General features: G+C 48.2%; 1 protein-coding gene across 8 annotated transcripts in view, besides 5 other annotated features; it reads left to right on the top strand.

Moving 5' to 3' along the window:
- Nucleotides 9,009-9,659: an enhancer, noted in NCBI's record as "H3K27ac-H3K4me1 hESC enhancer chr14:103524373-103525023 (GRCh37/hg19 assembly coordinates)". NCBI's record gives its function as "activates a minimal SCP1, AML or CMV promoter by ChIP-STARR-seq in naive H9 embryonic stem cells {active_cell/tissue: H9 hESC(naive)}" and the evidence as "EXISTENCE:reporter gene assay evidence [ECO:0000049][PMID:30033119]".
- Nucleotides 9,655-9,764: a silencer, noted in NCBI's record as "silent region_6140". NCBI's record gives its function as "represses an Ori minimal core promoter by ATAC-STARR-seq in GM12878 lymphoblastoid cells {active_cell/tissue: GM12878}" and the evidence as "EXISTENCE:reporter gene assay evidence [ECO:0000049][PMID:35858748]".
- Nucleotides 9,805-10,304: a silencer, noted in NCBI's record as "silent region_6139". NCBI's record gives its function as "represses an Ori minimal core promoter by ATAC-STARR-seq in GM12878 lymphoblastoid cells {active_cell/tissue: GM12878}" and the evidence as "EXISTENCE:reporter gene assay evidence [ECO:0000049][PMID:35858748]".
- CDC42BPB (CDC42 binding protein kinase beta) overlaps nucleotides 10,146-23,912 on the top strand; it is a 125,170-nt gene continuing 111,403 nt past the window's right edge. For all 8 annotated transcript variants that reach the window (NM_001411054.1, NM_006035.4, XM_005268228.2 and 5 more), the window contains exon 1: nucleotides 10,146-10,696. In NM_001411054.1, coding sequence (NP_001397983.1) covers nucleotides 10,522-10,696 — 175 coding nt within the window. In that variant the 5' untranslated portion in view covers nucleotides 10,146-10,521. The remainder of the gene's footprint in view (nucleotides 10,697-23,912) is intronic.
- Nucleotides 10,395-10,474: a silencer, noted in NCBI's record as "silent region_6138". NCBI's record gives its function as "represses an Ori minimal core promoter by ATAC-STARR-seq in GM12878 lymphoblastoid cells {active_cell/tissue: GM12878}" and the evidence as "EXISTENCE:reporter gene assay evidence [ECO:0000049][PMID:35858748]".
- Nucleotides 23,392-23,441: a silencer, noted in NCBI's record as "silent region_6137". NCBI's record gives its function as "represses an Ori minimal core promoter by ATAC-STARR-seq in GM12878 lymphoblastoid cells {active_cell/tissue: GM12878}" and the evidence as "EXISTENCE:reporter gene assay evidence [ECO:0000049][PMID:35858748]".

The following is a 23,912-nucleotide window of genomic DNA, read 5'->3' as shown; positions in this document are numbered from 1 at the left end:
GATCACTTGAGCCTGGGAGTTTGGGACCAGCCTGGGCAAAATGATGAAACTCTAACTCTGCAAAAAAATGCAAAAAAAAAAAAAAAAAAGCCAAGTATGGTGGTGTATACCAGTAGTCCCAGCTACGTGAGAAGGGGCAGGGGGTGGGGTGTTGGTGCCAAGGTGGGAGGATCACTTGAGTGCGGAAGGTCAGGGATGCAGTGAGCCAAGATTGTGCCACTGTACTCCAGCCTGGGCGGCAGAGCAAGACCTGTATCAAAAAAAAAAAAAAAAAATTAGTCATGCGTCACTTAGTGGCAGGTATGCATTCTGAGAAATGTGTCATTAGGCAGTGTTGTTGTGTGAACATCAGAGAGTGAACTTACACAAACTTAGATGGACACACCCAGGCTACATGGTACAGGCTCTTGCTCTTAGGCTACAAACCTGTGCAGCACGTTTCTGTACTGAACACTGTAGGCAACTATATCCCAATGGCAAGAATTTATGTCTCTAAACATAGAAGAGGTCCAGTAAAAATATAATATTGGCTGGGCGCGGTGGCTTACACCTGTAATCCCAGCACTTTGGGAGGCTGAGGTGGGTGGATCACTTGAGGCCAAGAGTTCGAGACCAACCTGACCAACATGGTGAAACCCTGTGTCTACTAAAAATACAAAAGTTGGCTGGGCGTGGTGGTGCATGCCTGTAATTCCAGCTAATCGAGAGGCTGAGGCAGGAGAATGGTGTGAACCCAGGAGGCGGAGCTTGCAGTGAGCCGAGATCACGCCTCTGCACTCCAGCCTGGGCAACAGAGCGAGACTCTGTCTCAAAAAAAAAAAGAAAAAAATATATACGTAAAATATTATAATCTTATGGGACTACTGTCATGGATGCGGTAGTCTCTGACCAAAACATCATTACGTGGTGCATGACTGTGGTTAAGTCGTGCCTTCCCTCGGTGTGAGAATCAATTCAATGCAAACTCCCTCTGAGGATGGGGATTGTCATCCCAGCCAGCACAGTGATCCCTTCTCTGCCTGTTGGTTCAGCGGCACAAGGAACCGGAAATTGCCAGTTGGGGGAGGGGCAGTTCCACCGTAATCCATCGAAACCATGACTGTGTTTCCTGATGGAAACATTTTCCTGGACACTGGCCCAAGGTCACACACAGGAAGGAAGGCAAAATTCCTCCAGTATGTTATTTGGTGTAATAATGGGAAGGGCCCCTCCTGCCTCCACTGCTCAGTTCCTGGACCCATGCATTTGAGGTGTCGGGGGATGGCACCGCATACCATTTGCTGGGTTGAGGCATGCACCACACCCTGTAGGATGGCAGCTTAACCTCATAGGCTATTGGCTCTCATCCGGCACCTTAACGGAGTCTTCTGCAGATGATTCCTCCATTCTCCCAAACCAGCTGCTTCTGGGTAATGGGGAGCATGGTAAATTCAGGGAATTTCATGGCCATGAGCTCTCCGCCACACTTCCTTCAACACGAAATGAGTCCCTCAGTCCAAAGTGATGGTGTTTGTGTTGCCATGATGAGGGATAAATAAAGCGTTGTCCGAGTCCACAAATGGTAGTGCTGAGAGAAGTGATGTGGCTGGAAAAACAAGTCCTTACATAAAACACGTGAGGATAAATCACTGCCCTTTCCATGACAGAAGGGGTCCAATGTCATCAAGCTGGCCACCGGGCAACTGCACCTTGTGGGAATGGCACCACATTAGGAGCTTAGGGTGGGTCCCTGCTGTGAGGGTTGGGCACTCAGCCATATGGATACCAAATCACTCAGCCAAATGGATACCAAATCAGCCTCGTGAGGAAAGGTCATGCTTCTGAGTCCCTACATAGCCTTCATCTCTGCTGCCTCAGTCAGCTGCCCACGGGCTGTTTGAGCAGCATTGGGAAGGGGAGGGAGGAGGCCAATGGATGTCCTCAGAAGAGGCTGTCTTGTCCACCTGGGTACTGAGAGCCTCCTCCCCAGTAAGTGCCCATGAATGAATAAGCATTCATTCCCATGGGTACTCTGTGCCCATTCTGAGAAGTCCATCCCCTTGCCTGTCCCCTAGGCCACCTGGAGAATTTTATTCAAGTGTCTAATTGTCCAGCCAACCCATTAGCTATAGCCTGTGAATCAATGTACAAGTTTTGCCTTCTGCAAGGATTTTTCTTCAATGCTGGCTTTCTGGGCCTCTCCTTTGTCTGTAAAGCACTAGTTGTCTACCTCTGACGGGAGCTAGCACTCCAGGCAGAAAAATTTGTGGGCCAGACCCACTTTTTCATTTTCTGTTGACTGATCACAACAAAGTATTTTCCATTAGGGTGTAGTTGCAGGTTAAGAAATGTCGCAGGGCCGGGCGCAATGATTCACACCTGCAATCCCAGCATTTTGGGAGGCTAAGGTGGGCGGATCACTTGATGCCAGGAGTTCGAGACCAACCTGACCAACATGGTGAAACCCTGTCTCTACTAAAAATACAAAAGTTAGCTGGGCGTGGCGGTGCATGCCTGTAATTCCAGCTGCTCGAGAGGCTGAGAAGTGAGAATTGCTTGAAACTGGGAGGCAGAGGTTGTAATGAGCCAAGAGCACGCCACTGCACTCCAGCCTGGGCGATAGAGCAAGACTCTATCTCAAAAGAAAAAAAAGAAAAGAAAAGAAAAAGAAAAAGAAATGTTGCAAAATGTCTGGGCACAGTGGTTCATGCTTGGGAGGCCGAGGTGGGCGCATCACCTGAGGTTGACTCGAGACCACCCTGGCCAACATGGTGAAATCCCATCTCTACTAAAAATACAAAAATTAGCCAGGTGTGGTGGCACACGCCTGTAATCCCAGTACTTGGGAGGCTGAGGCAGGAGAATCCTTGAACCTAGGAGGCGGAGGTCTCAGTGAGCCGAGATTGTGTCTTTGCACTACAGCCTGGATGACAGAGTGAGACAGTGTCTCAAAAAAAAAAAAAAAGAAAAGAAAAAGAAAAGAAATGTTGCAAAACAGTAGGAGCAAATACTATTAGAGTCTAAGGCACCTACTCAGGAAGTTTACTTGTTCCTCCCAGAAATGTTTGGGCCTACTCTCATCTTACAATGGAATGCTGCTAGGTGTGTGTGTGTGTGTGTGTGTGTGTGTGTACGTGTGTGTTTTGCGACAGAGTGAGACTCCATCTCAAAAAAATAAATAAATAAAATAATAAATAAATAAATAAAGATGTGGTTCAATGTCTTCTCACTTAGTGGTTCCCAATAAGAAATTTGGTGTCACTCTTACCTCTGTTTCCCTGTATGTAATGTGTCTTATTTCTCTGGATGTGTTTGGTTTTTTGTTTTGTTTTGTTTTGTTTCTTTTTTTTTGAGATGGAGTTTTGCTCTTGTTGCCCAGGCTGGACTGTAATGGTGCAATCTTGGCTCACCGCAACCTCCACATCCCGGGTTCAAGTGATTCTCCTGTGTCAGCCTCCAGAGTAGCTGGGATTGCAGGTATGTGCCTACCACGCCTGGCTAATTTTGTATTTTTTATAGAGACAGGGTTTCTCCATGATGGTCAAGCTGGTCTCGAACTCCCGACCTCAGGTGATCCGCCTGCCTTGGCCTCCCAAAGTGCTGGGATTACAGGCATGAGCCACCATGCCTGGCCTATTTTGTTTCTTTATCACTGGTTTTGAGCAATTTGATGATGATGTGCTTCGGTGCTTTGTTGTTGTTGTTGTTGTTTTTCATATTTCCTGTTCTCAGGATTAACTGAACTTCTTGAATTTGTGAGATTGTAATTTTCATTGTGTTTGGAAATTTTTCAGTAATTTCTTCAAATATTTTTTCTGTTCCTCCTCTTTCTTGCTCTTCTCCTTCAGGATCCCAATTATCCATGTATCAGGCCACTTGAAATAGTCCCACAGTTCACTGATGCTCTGTTCATGTTTTTGTTTTTGTTTTCTCTCACTGTCTTATTCTGGATAAGTTCTATTGCTATTTCTTCAAATTCACTAACCTTTTGTTAAGTAATGTCTAATCTGCCATGAATCCCATACAGTATATCTTAAATCCCAGAAATAGTTTTCTTATCTTTAGAAATTCTATTACAGTTTTAAAAAATGATTTTCATAATTCTATTAGCTTTTTCAAACACATGAAATACAGTTATAATAACATTTAATATCTTTTTCTGATAATGCTAACATCTGTGTAAGTTCTGGGTTGGTTTTGATTAATTGACGGCATCCTCATCATAGGTTGTGTTTTGAATGTCTGGTAATCTCTGACTGGATACCAGACATTGTGATTTTACCTTTTTGGGTGCTAAATATTTTGTATTCCTATACATTTTCTTGAGCTTTGTTCTGGGATGAAATTACTTGGAAACTGTTTAATACTTTTGTGTCTCATATTTGTAATTCGTTAGGCAGAGCCGGAGCAGTGCTCAGTCTAGAGCTTTTTCTGGGATGCTGGGGGAAAGGCAAGTGCATGACTTCCTAGTGGTAGAATCCTATTACCAAGGTACAACTTTCTTGAGAATTCTACCCAATGCCTGTGAATTATTAGTTTTTCCAGTCTGGCCAGTGGAAAACAACACTACTCTCAGTCTGTGTGAGCATCAGGCACCATTTCCTCCAATCTTTTTTGGCACTATTTCCCCTAATCCAGCCTGCGGTAGCTTCCATCCGCGTGAGCACTGGCCAGTGTGCTGCTGGATGCCTGAGGAGACTCTCTACCCATCTCCAGGGCTTTCTCTGTGCAGCTCACTCATTTATGGTACTCTGTCCTGAGAGGTCTAGCTGCCTTGGTCTCTTCAGTTTCTGCTCTGTCTCCTCGCCTCAGGGAGTCCACTGAGCTCCACCTCAGTTGCCCCTCCCTGGCAGGGCAGTCATAGAGCCACCTCTTTACCCTCCCTGGCAGGGCAGTCATAGAGCCACCTCTTTACCCTCCCTGGCAGGGCAGTCATAGAGCCACCTCTTTACCCTCCCTGGCAGGGCAGTCATAGAGCCACCTCTTTACCCTCCCTGGCAGGGCAGTCATAGAGCCACCTCTTTACCCTCCCTGGCAGGGCAGTCATAGAGCCACCTCTTTACCCTCCCTGGCAGGGCAGTCATAGAGCCACCTCTTTACCCTCCCTGGCAGGGCAGTCATAGAGCCACCTCTTTATCCTCCCTGGCAGGGCAGTCATAGAGCCACCTCTTTACCCTTCCTGGCAGGGCAGTCACAGAGCCACCTCTTTCCTGTGTCTCGGGGATAGGGATCACTGTCCTTTTTCAAAATTATGCATTTTTTGAGACAGAGTCTTGCTCTGTCGCCCAGGCTGGAGTGCAGTAGTGCAAGCATGACTCACTGCAGCCTTGAACCCCTGGACTGAAGCCATCCTCCCATCTCAGCTTCCAGAGTAGCTGGAGCTACAGGTGCATACCACCACACCTGGCTGATTACTGTCCTTTGATGCCTGATTTCTAGTGTCATGAAAATCCTTGTTTTAAGTGTTTTGTCCATTTTCTTTCTCTTTTATTTTCATTGTTTCAGGTAAGAGAGTAAATCTGGTCCTGATCACACCATCTAGGCTAGAAGCAGAAATTAATTTGCTTTTTCTTTTTGAGGCAGAGTCTTGCTTGCTCTGTCACCCAGGCTGGAATGCAGTGGTGTGATCTTGGCTCACTACAACCTCTGCCTCCTGGGCTCAAGTGATGCTTCCACCTCAGCCTCCCAAGTAGCTGGGACCATAGGCACACGCCACCACACCTGGCCAATTTTTGCATTTTTTGTAGAGACGGGGTTTTGCCACGTTGCCTGGGCTGGTCTTGAACTCCTGAGCTCAAGCAATCTGCCCGCCTTGGCCTCCCAAAATGCTGAGATTAACAGGCATGAGCCACTACACCTGGCCAAGAGAAAAGGAAAATTTATTGTTTCATGTAACCAGATCTCTCTCTCATTTTTCTCTTTCTTTCTCTAACAGGTGTTGTGGCTGTTGAGCTGAAGTCTCACCATCATAGCTTGTGTTGTAAAGCAAGGAGCAGCAAGCTACGGGTCTGCAGGCCAAATTTAGCCTGCTGCTTGTTTTGTAAATAAAGTTTTACCGGCACACAGTCATGCTCATTTGTTTCTACATTGTCTATGGCTGCTTTCTTGCTATAATGGTAGATGCAGAGACTGTAGGGTTCATAAAACCTGAAACATTTACTCTCTGGCCTTTTACAGAAAAAGTTTACCCGCCCCTGGTCTAAAGGAAAGGACAAGAAATTCTCTCTCCCAGTTTTAGTATGAAACATTCTTTTTATTTTTTATTTTATTTATCATTATTACTATCTTTGAGATGGAGTCTTGTTCTGTTGTCCAGGCTGGAGTGCACTGGTGCAATCTCTGCTCACTGCACCCTCCGCTTTCCGGGTTCAAGTGATTATCCTGCCTCAGCCTCCCAAGTAGCTGGGATTACAGGCATGCGCCACCATGCCCCGCTAATTTTTATATTTTTAGTAGAGACGGGGTTTCACCATGTTGGCCAGGCTGGTCTTAAACTCCTGACCTCAAGTGATCCACCCAGCTCGGTCTCCCAAAATGCTGGGATTACAGGCGTGAGCCACTGCGCCCGGCCTTCTTTTTCTTTTTCTTTTTCTTTTTGAGATGGAGTCTCGCTCTGTCACCCAGGCTGGAGTGCAGTGGCGCCATCTTGACTCACTGCAACCTCTGCCTCCTGGGTTCAAGTAGTTTTCCTGCCTCATTCTCTAAAGTAGCTGAGATTACAGGTGTGCACAACCACACCCAGCTAATTTTTTATTTTTATTTTTGGTATTTTTAGTAGAGACAAGGTTTCACCATTTTGGTCAGGCTGGTCTCGAACTCCTGACCTCAAATGATCTGCCCGCCTTGGCCTCCCAAAATGCTGGGATTACATGTGTGAGCCACCACACCCAGCCAGTATAAAACATTCTAAATAAGTTATCTGCTGAGGGAGCAAGATTGTTTGAGACCAGGAGTTCAAGACCAACCGGGGCGACATAGCAAGACTCCTTCTCTAAAAAAATTTTTTTAAATTAGCCAGATGTGGTGGCATACACCTGTAGTCCCCACTACTGTGGAGGCTGAGATGGGAGGATTACTTGAGCCTGGCAGTTCAAGGCTGCAGTGAGCTATGATTGTGCCAAGTCACTTCAGCCTGTATGACGGAGCAAGACCATGTCTCTAAAAAATAAATAGATAAATGAATACATAAACAAATAAGTTCTCTGATTGGCCTGGCTTCAGTCACATGACTGAAGGGGGATGAAGTGCTGCTAGGGTCTTGGGTCACATGTCCACCCTGGTGCCAGCCCCTCTAGAATCCTATGATCAGAGTGGAGCTGGAGCACAGACTCACAGGGCATGGGGCTCAGGAGAGAGAGAAAGCGAGGGCAGACGAATACAAGGACTGTCCACCAAAGGCACGATGACCTTTGTTGTACATTTGTAAATGTATAAGAACAGTAAATGGAAATTTCCAGGAGGCAAGAAGAGAGAGCAGATGTGGAATTCTCAAATGCTATGTCAGATCGCCATGGGCAGATTGTCAAGAGAAATGTTTGGGAATCTGTCCCACACTCAGGAATAAAAGATGAGAGTGGAAGAGAAAGTTTGGTCAGGTGATCCTGCCAGGGGACACAGAGGACAGGCACTCCTTCCTTCACTTTAAGCCTGTGAGGGTGGCTTCCAAGGGATTTCTCAGAGAGCTCAATATTTGGCACTCAATTTGGAGGGCACAGTGGCAGGAAGGGCTCATGTGCTGTTTCAGAGGCAGAGCTATGCTGCTGTGCTGGGACCCACCTGTTCACTAATGTTGGGGCGAGGAGTGTGCCAGTGTTTCCTGAGGACAGATGTGAGCTGGGTGGATGAGCAAGCACAAGACCCATGGATCCATTTAGGTCCTGTCCAAAAGTCCCTCAGGAAGGGCAGAGGGCCCCTCCCCTCCACAGCCACCAGGTAAGCATCCACCCAGTGGCACATCTGCTTGAGTTAAGGGGACTTCAGGAGACAAAGCAGCAGGGAACCACCGAGGAGCCCATGAATGTTCCCAGGAGAGACAGGGTCAGCTTTACCCTCTGCCAATCCAGATGGGATTGGAGCCCTTCCCCACTTCTCCCTTTCTCCCTTCCCGGTGGTGGTTCTAGATGGGTGGAAGTGGGCTGAGCGAGCCGAGGGAGGTTTGGGGAAGGAGATGGCACCAGGCACAGCCCCCTTTCCCCTTGCTCATCTCAGGCCCTAAGGGGTCCAAGGGGGAAGATTTAACTTTGATTTTGAGCCAGGTGATCTGCTCAGACTTTTTAAAAAAAACTTTTAAGGTGTCATACACAAATAGTAACATGCAAATATTTAGAATACAGTTTGATGAATTTATACACATTTACAGACCCAACGTTACAAAACGGCTGTGCTGAAGATACAGAATGTTCCCAGCCCCCTAGAGGCCTCTCCTTGTGCCTCCTTCCAGTTGATACCCCAAAGGCAACCAGTACTCTCACCTCTAACGCCAGATTGTTCTCACCTGCCTTTAAGAAATGAAGGTATTATATATACATACACACAGTGACATGCACTCATCTTAAGAAGACAGTTTGAAGAATGTTTACTTATGCGTGCTCCCATGTAACTACTACCCAAATCCAGGCATAGAACATTACCAGCAGCCCAGAAGGTTCCTCCTCTTGTTCCAGTCAACAACTCCGGCATAGGCAGCCACTCCTCTTCTTCTTCTTCTTCTTCTTATTATTATTACTATTATTAAGACGGAGTCGTGCTCTGTTGCCCATGCTGGAGTGCAGTGGAGCGATCTTGGCTCACTGCACTTTCGCCTCCCGGGTTCAAGTAATTCTCCTGCCTTAGCCTCTCGAGTAGCTGGGACTACAGGCGCGCGCCACCACGCCCGGCTAGTTTTTTGTATTTTAGTAGAGACGGGGTTTCACCGTGTTGCCCAGGCTGGTCTCGAAGTCCTGAGCTCAGGCAATCCGCCCACCTCGGCCTCCTAAAGTGCTGGGATTACAGGTGTGAGCCACCGCGCCAGGCCCACTCCTATTTTTAGCTCCAGAGATTAGTTTTGCTTCAGGCTCCCTTAACGTCCTGCTTCAAACCCCTATCTGCCCCTTCATCGGCTCCACCTGGAGGCCACCGCTTCCACGGAAGCATGACCCCTTCCCCTGCACCCGCGCGCCCCAGAAGCTCTCAGATACCCCCACGATTTCGGTGACCTTCCGCAAGCTCCAGGAAAAGCCCCTCCTCTCCTGACGCCAAGGGTTTGTTGGGGTTGGGGGGTATCTCCATCAGCCTCCCTCCCCCAGCCACCCAAATTAACCAACAATCTTAGTAAATGCAGCGACTCGCTAGGCAAACCCAGCCTGGAGACAAATATCCGGCCCCTTTCCTACCAAACTGTCACACCTAGGCATTGGTCTGCAGGGAGGGCTGGACAGTGGAAACTGAAACCCTCTGCAAGCCATCACGAATCCACCGGGCACTGGGGACGCTGGCTCCCGCCTTGGCAGCATCCCCCAGAAGCCTGGGCCCTGACCCCACACCGTCTGGGCCTCAGTCTCTCATCGGTAAAGTCAGGGGTAGGGCCCGAGTCTTCCAGGACCGCTTCGAGCTGGGACAAGCCGTTTTAAATAGCCCACAACCCGCCGAGGCCATCAGAGCTGCGCCTGCCGGGCCGCCCTCGACCCCCACCTCGGCCGGGCAGGTCCGAGGCCCCGCAGGCAACATGGGCCCGCGGACTGCGGGACGGGGCTCGACGGCCTGAGATCGCGACTCTGCCTCTCCGATACTTGGGGTCGTCTTCGGCCCCGGGATCCGCGACGCGCGCGGTCGGACCCCGAATACTGAAGGCACCGGGTCCGCAGGGCGAAGGCGCACACGCCCACCAGGCGCGCTCTGCGCATGCGCGGGCTCCGCAATCTCAGCGGCCCACTCGCCCCGCCCCGCCCCCCCCACCCCCACCCCGCGCCGCTCCCCAGGCCCGGCCCTGCCTTCCCAGCATCCCGGCTCCCTACGGCAAGCGGCGAGGCCCGAGCCCGCCGGGAGCAGGGAGCCGGGCGCGGGGCGGGGCGGCGCGCTGAGGTCAGCGCGGCGGCGGCCGGCCCCGTAGTGGTTGGCTGCGCTGGTGCTGGCCGCGCCCTGGTTGGCTGCGGGCCGCGGGGCTGGGCCGCCGGGTCGGGGCTGGGGTCGGGCTCGGGCGCCGGCCGGGCTTGCGCAGCGCTAGGCTCCTCGCCGCTCCTAGTCTGCGGCGGCGGCGGCGGGGAGGGCGCGGCCGCGGGCGGGGCTGAGGGCGGCGGGGGCGGGCCGCCCGAGCTGGGAGGGCGGCGGCGCCGAGGGGAGGAGAGCGGCCCATGGACCCGCGGGGCCCGGCGCCCCAGACTCTGCGCCGTCGGGACGGAGCCCAAGATGTCGGCCTAGGCCGGGGCGCGACGACGCGGACGGGGCGGCGAGGAGGCGCCGCTGCTGCCGGGGCTCGCAGCCGCCGAGCCCCCGAGGGCGCGCCCTGACGGACTGGCCGAGCCGGCGGTGAGAGGCCGGCGCGTCGGGAGCGGGCCGCGCGGCACCATGTCGGCCAAGGTGCGGCTCAAGAAGCTGGAGCAGCTGCTCCTGGACGGGCCCTGGCGCAACGAGAGCGCCCTGAGCGTGGAAACGCTGCTCGACGTGCTCGTCTGCCTGTACACCGAGTGCAGCCACTCGGCCCTGCGCCGCGACAAGTACGTGGCCGAGTTCCTCGAGTGGGGTAAGTGCGCGCCGGCAGGGCCGGACCTGCGGCTCTGCGACCCCCGCGCCCCAGCCCGCGCATCCCCACGCCCGCCCATCCCCGCCCGGACAGACCCTGCCGCCCTCCTGCCCACCCAGCTCGTGGGCTTCGCCTCCTCTCGCTCTGGCAGCGCCCCCAGGCCCGCAGCCCATCTCTCTCCAGCCGCTCCTTGCACCCTCGTCCCTCCGCTAGCTTTTCATCCCTCCTTGCCCTCCCTAGGCTCGACATCCGCGTTCGATCGTCCCGCCCCCTCATCCTGCCCCTTGGAGCCACATCCTACGTTCCCACTCCCACCCCCTCCCCCCCGCCGGGCCCTCGCCCTGGCGGCTTCCTAGATCCACCCTCCGAGTCTGGATATCATTTCCTGCAGCACTCACTGGGATATCCGCCCCCGCCCCCGCCCCCGCCCCCGCACCTCGCCTTTGGGGTCCGGAGGCAGTGTGGAATTAGTTCCCTTTCCCCACCCCACGCTTCTCTGCGTTGTGGGGGCAGCTGGGTGTGCTTTCTGCATCTGCCTCGCCCACTGCCCCGTGGGACCCCCTTGCATCCCCAGGGAGCCCAGCTCTAACGGCCCCTCCTGGGTGACAGCCTGTCTACATCCCCTTGTTGGTCAGAGCCTGAATACCTACTTTGCTGTAACACCTTCAAGGGAATTTTAAGGTTAAGGCTTTATTTTAAATAAACCGTGCAAGAGGACTTTTTTTTTTTAATTCCAATTCTGCTAGACCTTTGTGATATTTGGAGGGGTAGCTGGAGCTATCACTTAGAAACTTTCTCATCTGAATTTTGCATGCCTTCTCTAGTTCGTTCCGGATCTATAATGTTTTAATCATTGGTCAGCTAACCTATTATGCTTTTTTAGGACAAAAATTTGATTAAACCATTTAACGATAATTAGGATCCTAAAGACAGGTAAAAGTGCAGCGTGAAACTCTTTTACTTCATCTCTCCCTAACGGGTGTGCCGGTCAAGACCCTCAGACTGTCTCACCTAAAACCACTGAGTAGGAGGAGGAAATGCGTATGTTCAGGCCAAACCTATGAAAACCTTATCCTTGGGTCATTTGCGTCACTGGGCTAGGACTGTTCAGTTCGAACCAGTAATTTCTAATCTTTGGGGCTGATAAAGCTGATATTTATACGAAGAAACAAATGAAAGTGTTCCACAGTGAGGCCTCCAGGCCTCCTACTCTACTCTGCCAGATTGGTGACTGGAATTTGGAATTTTGTTTACAAATAAAACTTAAGTTGCAATATTCTTTAGAGGGCTTCTGTTGGATTACTCTGTAGTGAAATGTTACACGGTATCTTGTGAGAGCAGCAGTAGAAAGAGGTCCTGAGATCAAGGACAGCCTGTGATGCTTTATTTCCGTGGGAACCACCATTCTTGGTTACTTATAGTATCAGTAAATTAAGAGTATTTGCTTTCTAGCGTCCTTTGTCAGTGACACGATTTCCAACTGAATAATTAATTGACTTCACCGTTGCTTTGAAAGTGAGGTCTTTGGTGCATGTTAAAATCTGAATATTTTGTTTACCTTTTCTTTCTTTTCTTTGGAGACGAGTCTCACTGTGTTGCCTAGGCTGGAGTGCAGTGGCATGATCTTGGCTCACTACAACCTCCATCTCCTGGGTTCAAGTAATTCTCCTGCCTCAGCCTCCCGAGTAGCTGGGACTACAGGCACGCACCAGCATGCCCGGCTCATTTTTGTATTTTTAGTGGAGAAGGGGTTTCACAGTGTTGGCCAGGCTGGTCTTGTACTCCTGACCTCGGGTGATCCACCTGCCTCGGCCTCCCAAAGTGCTGGGATTACAGGCGTGAGCCACTGCACCCAGCTTGTTTACCGTTCCTTTCTGATCACTCGATCTTGAAACCCACACAGTTCCACTGTCAGGTTCAACTTGGTGCACCACCTGTGAGTGTGACTGGGAAGAGGAAGCAGAGGGAAAGTTGGTTTTGCTGGGAAGATGTGGTCCCACTGGCCTCTGGCCTGGGACCTAGAAGATTAGTCTGAGGGCGGGGGCCCTGGGGGCCATTGTGCAGCCACCTCTCTCCACCAGGCATTACTGGTGGGCTTCCCTGGAGGAAGCTCTTGTCAGCATGTGTGGAGGTCATATTTTATGAGATCTGGCCTTTCCAAATCTAAACGGGAACTGTGCTGTAACATAGACATATTTTCAAAGTTGTATTCTGGCTCTTTGGAAATTGTGATTACAAACTACATTATTCTCAGGAACTCAGTTTGCACAAAAGTATAAACTTTCAATTATAGGGAAGAATGGACTTAGAAGGTGGTGTTTTAATGAAATATCAATATATTTTACAAGTATTTAAACTCATTTATGTTAACATATACGTCATTGTAACTCTAAAGTGGTGTATTTCTAGTTAACATGTGTGCAGTTAGTATTTAATGTTGCTTGGAATTGCCTGGTTGTTTCGATTGGAAAGCACAGAATAATGTTTTTGAATAAAACTATTTATAGAGCAATATTAGGTACTCTAACTTCCAAGTGGAATTACTTCTGCTCAGGAAACACATATAGGCTGTCCATCAGTGGACTGTTCAGTTTTTGGATTCACCACTCCATGACATTTGAAACCTCTGATATGTCGATTCCTGTCACGTGGAAAAGCCAACCTTTCCCCACTTCCCAAATCTTGCCAGGTATCTAATGACAATTATGGAGAATTCTTGAAACTTAAGGAAGAAAAGTAGCTGATTCAGCCCAGATTTGGAGGCTTAATGGGGAATATGTGAGGAAATTTGGAAAGTATAGGTAGTAAACTTTTTAAGTTTTAAAGGAAGATTATGGCCTGGTGCAGTGGCTCATGCCTGTAATCCCAGCACTTTGGGAGGCCAAGGTGGAGGATTGGTTGAACTCAGGAAGACAAGACCAGCCTGAGCAACCTGACAAAACCCAGTATCTATAATAAATGTCAAAATAAAATTTTATAAAAATATAAAAATTAGCTGGGCATGGTGGCGCACACCTGTAGTCCCAGTTACTCTGGAGGCTGAGGTGGGTGGATCACTTGAGCCTGGGAGGTCAAGGCTGCAATGAGCAATGATCATGCCACTACACTCCAGCCTGGGCAACAGAGTGAGACCCTGTCTCAAAAATAAATAAAATATGATTATTTTTGGCTCATATTTTCTTATTGCCACAGTGGTCGCATGGGACAAGAGTCATTTCAACTTTTTTTTTTTTTTTTGAGACGGAGTCTCACTCTGTCGCCCAGGCTGGAGTGCAGTGGCGGGATCTCGGCTCACTGCAAGCTCTGCCTCCCGGGTTCACGTTGTTCTCCTGCCTCAGCCTCCTGAGTAGCTGGGACTACAGGCGCCCGCCATCACGCCTGGCTAATTTTTTTGTATTTTTAGTAGAGACGGGGTTTCACCGTGTTAGCCAGGATGGTCTCGATCTCCAGACCTCGTGATCTGCCCCCCTTGGCCTCCCAAAGTTCTTGGATTACAGGTGTGAGCCACCGTGCCTGGCCGAGTCATTTCAACTTTCATTGTAGGTTTTTGTCTTTAATTTTCCTATAGCTTGATTGGTTTCCTCTATGAAATCTTGAACCTTAATGCCCAGCTTTGCGTGTGTATTCTTTTCTTTTCTTTTCTTTTTTTTTTGAGACGGAGTCTCACTCTGTTGCCCAGGCTGAAGTGCAGTGGTGCGATCTTGGCTCACTGCAACCTCCGCCTCCCGGGTTCAAGCAATTCTCTGCCTCAGTCTCCCGAGTAGCTGGGATTATAGGTGCCTGCCACCACGCCTGGCTAATTTTTGTATTTTTAGTAAAGACGGGGTTTCACCATCTTGGCCAGGCTGGTCTTAAAGTCCTGACCTCGTGATCCACCCTCCTCGGCCTCTCAAAGTGCTGGGATTACAGGCGTGAGCCACCACGCCTGGCCTTGCATGTATATTTCTTTAAGCTATTTTGAAAATATCTTGATACCATTTGAAGCAGAACATATGAAACACTTTACAGTTTCCAAAAGTAAATAGCAACAAATACGGACAACCCAGTGAGATGAATTTGTTGTCTTTCATCTTTGTCATATACAAATACTGTCTTATGTGTTAAATATTTTTCCCACAGCTTATTTGTAACAGCTAATGTTGCGTTTGGATGGAGCTGATGTTTGAAATCCTAGCCTATGGGCATTGGACAGGCCACAGTGGTCCTCTGCCCTGGCTGCTGTGTGGCCGTCAGACCAGGAGGGAGGCCTCAGGCTTGATGCTGGTGTCACAGAGGCGGACCGTGGGTTTCCAGTCCCCAGTCCGGGCATCTTCTCTCGAGATGTGCTTCCTCTTCATGAATAGAATTAATCCTCCTAGTCTTCTGGGTGGTTCCTCATTTGTGGCTTTTCTCACCATGAGTGTGATAGTATCTTCTCACGGTCCTCCTCCATGGATGTGAATGCCCATAGCTGTTAGTGTGGGAATGGCCAGCCCAAGGTGTGAGTGGGATGATGCCACCGAATTTAATAAGTAAGGCTTAACTGACACGGTGCTAAACATCTCATAATAAAAAGTGCTGGGATTACAGGCGTGAGCCACTGTGCCCGGCTCAAATACATTTTTATCTTAATGATTTCTCTGGATAGAATATTTGCATAACATGGGAACACTTTTTAAAAATAACAGACTTAAGAAATAGATCTTTTGAGTAAGATCTGAATTATAGGGAAATGTTAGGATTGCATGATAAAAATTAGTTTAACCTAATTTAGATCATGTAGATTCTATGGTAGCTGTTTGATACTGACTATAATAGCATGAGATAGGACAGCTGAAACCATTAAACATTAACAACCCAGCCCTACCTTTTCTGTCTTAAAACTTCAGGCCGGGTGTGGTGGCTCACACCTGTAATCCCAGCACTTTGGGAGGCCAAGGTGAGTGGATCAGGAGTTTGAGACCAGCCTGGCCAACAAGGTGAAAACCCGTCTGTACTAAAAATACAAAAATTAGCCGGGTGTGGTGGCACGCATAGTCCCACCTACTTGGGAGGCTGAGGCAGGAGGATCTCATGAACCCAGGAGGCAGAGGTTGCGGTGAGCTGAGATTGCGCCACTGCACACCAGCCTGGGCAACAGAGCAAGACCCTGTCTCCAAAAAAAAAACAAAAAACCTCTTCCTTCCATGACAGTTGGGCTTCACAGTGAGCAGCAGTGTCTCTCTTAAATCTAGACTTCAAAGAAATAAAATTGGATTTGAAGAAATAGTTCTCACTTCAGGATACCACTGTGTGAGCTACCTGAAAAAGTTTAAAATGTGCAGTGAATTGCCCTTCAGGCAAAATACTCAAATGCATGTAAATTACAGAACTCACAACACTGCAGGGTTGACAGAGAGCTCCTCTGCTTGCCTCCGCCCTGCCTCTTGTCGCAAGCCAGGTGCCCTTAGATGTCTCCTGGTTGCGCTGACATTAGTGATACTGGATAAACAGGCAGGCACACAGGACTGTTAATTCCAAACTATATTAAATACAGTGAAACTGTCAAATGCTTTTCTCTGAAAAGAGACAAAGCTTTTTTTTTTTTTTTTTTAGCTGGAAGAGACTAAAAACAATGTTACCATGTAATCTCATCCCAAAACCCATAACATAATACCTATTAGTCCTTGACCACGTTTGTTTTTTTCTTAGATTCTTAGTGTTATGGGATGACGGTATGTTATGGTTACCTTAAATTTGTGTGAGAAGCTCACAGAAAGCCTCTCTTGCTAATGAGAATGGATGAGAGGAAACACCCTCTCCTTAAATCTAAAATCAGAAGTGTTTTGGCAATGTGAACTGCGTGTAGTAATCTCCCGCCCCCCCGCCCCAAATACACTAGCCACTAACTGGGAGATAAAGGTCAAGTTTCAGTTTGATTTTAAACAATCTGTGTTGGGGGTTAGGTTTTTGGTTAGTTTTATTGATTGGTAGGTAACAGTGGCAACAAAATTGTTTTTTGATTAAAACTGCAAAAAATCGATGTGTAATAGAGAACTTCTTTGGATTTTTGTTTTTCTTAGGAATTAGAAATTCAAACATAAATTTGAATGGAATGATATAATTTCATTCAAATTCGGTCCTTGGATTGGAGAGTCTTTGGAGAACATTTGGGACCTATTGTAAGGTGATTCCCAGTGTTAATTTAGGTGATGATTTCCCTGACCTCCAAAATTGCAGAGTCATAGGTTGGAAAACTGTTAAGAATTTTTTTTTTTCCCCCCAAGACAGGGTCTTGCTCTGTTACCCAGGCTGGAGTGTAGTGGCTCTGTCATGTCTCACTGCAGCCTTGACTTCCCAGGCTCAGGCAGTCCTCCAGCCTCAGCCTCCTGAATAGCTGGGACAATAGGCATACACCGCTACACCTGGCTAATTTTTTATTTTTTGTGGAAACGAGGTCTTGCTGTGTTGCCCAGGGTGGAATTGAACTCAGGCTCAAGTAATCCTCCTACCTTGGCCTCCCAAATGTTGGGATTATAAGTGTGAGCCACTGCGCTCCGCTATGTTAGGAATTTGGGGAGGTCATGTTAACCTGCCCTCCAGCCCACTCCCCACTCAGGTTGGGTAAACCAGGTTCTGAGCATTTTCCCTAACCGTTTCTGGGCAAACAGCCCTCTAACCAGCATTTCTGTCCTTCACAGGACTGCGGTCAGCCTCAGGCCTCCTTGCAGGTGCCTGCTTTGAAATATCTTTATTTTATTTTAGCCTTTTCTTTCTATTCTCATTGTCAGGGACCTAGGTAAAGCTCTCAGGTCCTCAGGCCTAAATGAATGCCTTTCCCACTTGAAGTTTTAAATACCTCTGCCAGATCAGTCTCAAACTCTCTTCATCACTCTGCCTTTCCAAAACTACAATGCCTTCATATTCTGTTGCCTTTAAAATAAAAAGTCTGATATCCACAATTCAGTATTAGAATTTGAAATTGACCCCAAAAGACGCATCTAATCTTAGCTTTAGAAGTTAAGGTTATGGCCGGGTGTGTTGGCTCATGCCTGTAATCCCAGCACTTTGGGAGGCCGAGACGGGTGGATCACAAGGTCAGTAGTTCAAGACCAGCCTGGCCAACATGGTGAAACCCCGTCTCTACTAAAAATACAAAAATTAGCCGGGCTGGTGGCGCACGCCTGTAATCCCAGCTACTCAGGAGGCTGAGGCAGGAGAATCACTTAAACCCGGGAGGCGGAGGTTGCAGTGAGCCGAGATTGTGCCATTGCTCTCCAGCGTGGGCAACAAGAGCAAAATTTTGTCTCAAATAAATAAAAAAAGTTAAGGTTAACAGCACTTCCCACCATGCCCCATGGGGTGATTTTCTTTTAACATCATTTAACTTTTATCAATGTAATGCATTTACTTAGTTTTGGAAACTAAGCGGTACTACTGGGTTGTAGTGCAAGACAGCAGTCCCTCTACCAGTCGCTTGCTCCGCGCTCCAACTTCCCACAGACTACCACTTTTAACTGCTCTGTTTCTACTTATCATTTTAGTTAGGATCACATTTAGCTGCCAGTAATGGAGAACAAAGTGACAGTGACTTAAATAAAATCAGGTTGATTTCTCTCACGTGAAGTTGACGTGTCAGCAGTCAGTGCTAGTTGGACAGCCTTGCTCCAAGAGGCCTCCGGGGCTGTGGCCTTTTCCCACCCTCAGGCCACCATCTGAGACGGTGGCCATCCCACCCTCCTTCAGCCAAGCAGGCCGGGGGTGGGATGTTACTATAGAAGATCCTTGGATATTGGTGGGTGCTTAGCAATGCCTGCCTTAAATTTCATATTTCTGTGTAGCATGCTGGTACTGCTAATTTCTGATTTTACCATTTTAGACATTGCTGACTTCTGCTGTAGAAGAGGCCTTAGAACTGTTCTACATTGTCCCTCCACTGCCTGAAACACATTCACCCCTTGCTCTTTTTCTGTGTTCCAAATATGTTTATATAATTTTGTTTAAATTGGTAATTCAGTGTCTGCATTCTTATTGTTAGGTAACTGTCTTCACAGCTAAGCCATGTAAGATACAGTTTACTAAGGGAAATAGTTTTGTGTTATTGGAGTGAATTTTCTTTATTTTCTTTTCTTATAATAATCCCATGGAGTAAATTTTTTTTTTTTTGGAGATGGAGGCTCATTCTGTTGCCCAGGCTGGAGTGCAGTGGCATGATCTTGGCTCACTGCAGCCTCCGCCTCCCGGGTTCAAGTGATTCTCCTGCCTCAGTCTCCCGAGTAGCTGGGATTACAGGCACCCACCATCACACCTGGCTAATTTTTTTTTTTTTTTTTGAGACGGAGTCTTGCTCTGTCGCCCAGGCTGGAGTGCAGTGGCCCGATCTCGGCTCACTGCAGGCTCCGCCTCCTGGGTTCACACCATTCTGTCTGAGCCTCTCGAGTAGCTGGGACTACAGGCGCCCGCCACCATGCCTGGCTAATTTTTTTTTTTTTTTTTTTTTTTTTTTTTGTATTTTTAGTAGAAACAGGGTTTCACCGTGTTAGCCAGGATGGTCTCCATCTCCTGACCTCGTGATCCACCTGCCTCATCCTCCCAGAGTGCTGGGATTATAGGCGTGAGCTACCGCGCCCAGCCATGCCTGGCTAATTTTTGTGTTTTTAGTACAGATGGGGTTTCACCATGTTGGCCAGGCTGATCTTGAACTCCTGACCTCAAGCAGTCCGCCCGCATTGGCCTCCTGAAGTGCTAGGATTACAGGAGTGAGCCACCGCTCCCGGCCGAATTTTCTTTAGCTTGGTTTTCAATGTACAGTCATGAATTTAGTGCCAGGCTTTTAACTAGAACTCCTCCATTAAACACCTCACATAATCTTATCACCTTCATCCCTTCCAGGCCTGCCACTTTTCTGTTTCAGCCTGGGCCGGGTGTCCTGCGGGCCTGCTACTGAGCAGTCCTCCTTGGAGTGCTTTTCATTCCTTGCAGGGATTCTTCGTGTCTCTTTCCTCTGTTGAATTCCCCTTTCTGGATTCTGTGTCTTTCATCTTTTGGTGGAGTGAATCTTCTAGTAGCTTCCTGAGAAAGAATTCATCGGAGGTGAATTTTTTGAACCAGGTCTGTCTGAAAATGCTTTTTTTTTTGGACACAGAGTCTTGCTCTGTTGCCCAGGCTGGAGTGCAGTGGTGCAATCTTGGCTCACTGCAACCTCCACCTCCCGGTTCAAGCAGTTCTCCTGCCTCAGCCTCCCGAGTAGCTGGGACTGCAGGTGCACACCACCACACCCAGCTAATTTTTTGTATTTTAGTAGAGACAGGGTTTCACCATGTTGCCCAGACTGGTCTCGAACTCCTGAGCTCAGGGAATCTGCCCGCTTCGGCCTCCCCAAGTGTCAGGATTACAGGCATGAGTCACCATGCCTGGCTGAAAATGCCCTTTCTTCCCTCACATTTGAATGGCACTTTGCCTGCGTACAGAATTCTAGGTTGGAAGTCATTGTTCCTCAGAAGTTTGAAAGCATGGAGGCATTGCTGTCTACACTGAGAGTGTTGGTAATGAGAAGTCGGAGACCACGATGGTTTCCAAGTCTCTGTGTGGGACTTTTCTTTTGTAAAATCTCTGGAAGCTTTCAGGGAACTCTTGTTTATCTCTAATGTTCTTTGGTGGGTCTTTTTGATTGGGACGCTTGGGTCCTTCAGCTCTGGGGAACTTTTGTTGATAATACTGTAGTTTTAATGTTTGTTCTAATTTTTTTTTTTTTTTTTTTTGAGAGTATTACTCTGTTGCCCTGGCTGGAGTGCAGTGGCGTGATCTGAGCTCACAGGAACCTCCGCCTCCCAGGTTCAAGTGATTCTCCTGCCTCAGCCTCCCAAGTAGCTGGGATTACAGGCGTCCACCACCAAGCCCAGCTAATTTTTGTATTTTCAGTAGAGATGGGATTTCACCATGTTGGCCAAGCTGTTCTCGAACTCCTTACCTCGTGATCCACCCGCCTTGGCCTCCCAGAGTGCTTGGGATTATAGGCATGAGCTGCCGCGCCCAGCCAAGAACACTTAAAAATGAAAGATACAGTGTCAGAAACAAAAATTCAATGTAAGGCTGGGCGCGGCGGCTCCTGCCTGTAATCCCAGCACTTTGGGAGGCCGAGGCAGGTGGATCAACTCTCAGGAGTTGGAGACCAGCCTGGCCAACATGGCAAAACCCCGTCTGTACTAAAAATACAAAAACTAGCCGGGCATGGTGGCAGGTGCCTGTAATCCCAGCTACTCTTGTGGCTGAGGCAGGAGAATCGCTTGAACCCAGGAGGCAGAGGTTGCAGTGAGCCGAGATCACGCCACTGCACACCAGCCTGGGTGACAGAGAGAGACTGTCTCCAAAAAAAAGTGTTGTTGTTCTCAGTATTCCTTTTTGTAACATCCTCTTTCTGTTTCATGAAGGCAGTGCGTTTTAGACACATTTCTTTGTTTAATGTTTTATTGATTCCTGCACACGTTTGTTACGTAGATGTTTCTTTCCCTTTGCCTCCTACCTTGTCTGTTTCCTGTGCGTTCTTTTTCACCTGTTTTCTACTTTGGTCATTCTCTTTGTTAGAGGCTTCTCTCCGAAACTCTGGTGATTACTGGCTGTCTTTCCATGGTTATGAATGGGACGATTGGAAACTCCCTGTATGCATAGGGCCGACTTTAAGTGTTGAGTCTCACCATGAGGAAATAGAGCATGGACCCTGCCAATTTGAGGGCCACTGCCAGAAGTTAGTGATAGAATTCTTTATTTTGGGGCTGTAAGTCTCCCTAGAGAGGAGTTTCCAGTCTCCTGCTTGGGGTTTAGGGGTTGGGGGGCATAGCTGTCAGTTTCTGGGAAGGTGGCTGAGGTGGAGGAGGGCTGGTGGGGGAGGATCTGACTGCTTCTCCCACAGACTTGAAGCGGATGCTCTTTTGTGCCCATTACCCTCAGGCCTTCAGAGATCTGAGCGCCTCTTCTCATTCCCCAGCCTCGTTGCCCCTGCTGCGCAGTTAAGTTCTGGTTTTCTGGCTTTGCTGAGTTAGATACCACTCGTCCATTTGCTTTTTCCCACTCTGCAAAATCGTGTTGACATTTCTAGTCTGCTGTCATCCCTTGTCGTACACTTAGCAAATATTTTTTAAGGACTTAAGATGTGCTAGGCACTGCAGCAGTGAAGAAAACAAAATTCCTGTTCTCCTGGAGCTCACGTTGTCCTTGAGGCTCGTGGCAGTGTGATTATGCGCCGCTGTGGTTTCCAGGTGTGCGAGACGCCCCAGCTCTCAACTCTGCACGAAGTCAGAGTGTAGTTCCTCTTTGTTTTGATTTGGATGTGTTGCTGTTTCTATTCTTACACTTACTTACTTGAAAGAGTCCCCCATGAATAGAAGGAGGAAATGGGACGACAGGAGAGCAGGTTTTTCTTTTTTCTCTCGTGGCTGTACAAGCATTGGAGGAGAGGAGAAGGGGGTTATGAGAATGTGAAGAAGCAGGGAGTACCTGAAGGAAGTGTTGAAAGTGGAAATACGGTGGCTGGACAGCGCCTGCTCCTCGGGTGGCTGGACAGCGCCTGCTCCTCGGGGCTGGGAGGGTGCAGGGGTCCCTGTGGAGACCACGTGATGTGGGGCTGTTCACAGCTGGGCTTTTGTGATGCAGGAGTTGCCTATAGAAACTTCATCTTTCTGGAAATGTCATAGAGCTGTGTTTAACCTCCAGAGCTTTTGGTATGTAGGAAATCACCCATTGAAAATAAACCAGAGCAGAATAAGAAATATTCTTGCCCCTCATCATTCTCTAAAAACATAAATAACGTAGCGAGGTGCAAAGGTGACTAGAACTCCCTTGCCACAGCACCCAAAACAGCACTTCAGGGTCCTTGCTGTGTTGTACTTCACCCTTGTTAGTGCAAAATCATTGAATTAAAATAATTCAGTCTATCACTTTGTTTAAAAAACTGGTGAGCCGAATTTATTTTTCAATATTTATTTATTTATTTATTTATTTATTTATTTTAGAGACAGAGTCTCCCTATATTGGCCAGGCTGGTCTTGAACTCCAGAGCTCAAGGGATCCTCTTGCCTCGGCCTCCCAAAGTGCTGGGATTACAGGTGTGAGCCACCACACCTGACCCATCTTATACTTCAATTTGAAATACCATTTCTACTGATGCTTTACTATTGAGAAAGATGTTGATTTTATCAGTGGTTATGCAGCAATCCTTAAAGGTTAATTTTGGAGGCCGGGCACGGTGGCTCACGCCTGCAATCCCAGCACTTTGGGAGGCCGAGGTGGGAAGATTGCTTGAGCCCAGGAGTTCAAGACCAGCTTCAGCAACATAGTGAGACCCCCGTCTCTGCAAAATTAAATTAAAAAAATTAGGGCCAGGCGTGGTGGCTCACGCCCGTAATCCCAGCACTTTGGGAGACTGAGGCTGGCGGATCATGAGGTCAGGAGATCGAGACCATCCTGGCCAAGTTGGTGAAACCCCATCTCTACTAAAAACACAAAAAGTTAGCCGGGCATGGTGGCGGGCGCCTGTAGTCCCAGCTACTCAGGAGGCTGAGGCGGGAGAATTGCCTGAACCCGGGAGGTGGAGGTTGCAGTGAGCTGAGATTGCACCAGTGCACTCGAGCCTGGGTGACAGAGCGAGACTCTGTCTCAAAAAAAAAAAAAAAAAAAAAGGTGCCGGCTGTGTTGGTGTGCACCTGTAGTTCAGCTACTTGGGAGGATTGGTTGAACCTGCAGTGAGCTATGATTGCACCACTGCACTCCAGCATGGGCGACAGAGTGAGACTCTGTCTCCAAAAAGTAATAATAATAATTTTGCAGCTCTGTCTTAAATGGATATTTGTTTTCTAACCCGAAGTATTTGAAACCAAATTGTTGAAAAGTCTTTGTTTATTAATAGAGCAGCTTTCTGATGTACCTTTAAAATGAAACTGAATTCAAATATGTGGGAAATACTGTCTGACTAGCAGCGAATTGAGAAGTTACTGGAAATGCTCTATTTCCAGTTTTACCAGTTAATTAAGGTGTCAGGGATGGCATTGATATTATACTGTGTCATAACAAGAAATATTTCTCAAAACATCAGACATTGACATGGTTTTATGTAACCAAAATGATAAGCCTGGATATATTTCCTTCTACAAATATTTAATTATTTTTTTTAAAAAGCAAGATTTGTGTTTATGAAGTTTTGATAATCCTTGTGACATAATATGTTAGGAGGAGTTTTAAACAGAAACCAGCTGTCAGCAATATA

Source organism: Homo sapiens, chromosome 14 (genome assembly GCF_000001405.40).
Source record: "Homo sapiens chromosome 14, GRCh38.p14 Primary Assembly".
NCBI classification, from domain to species: Eukaryota; Metazoa; Chordata; class Mammalia; order Primates; family Hominidae; genus Homo; species Homo sapiens.
The sequence above is the reverse complement of the archived record's forward strand: the minus strand, read 5'-3'. Positions and strand labels throughout refer to the sequence as shown.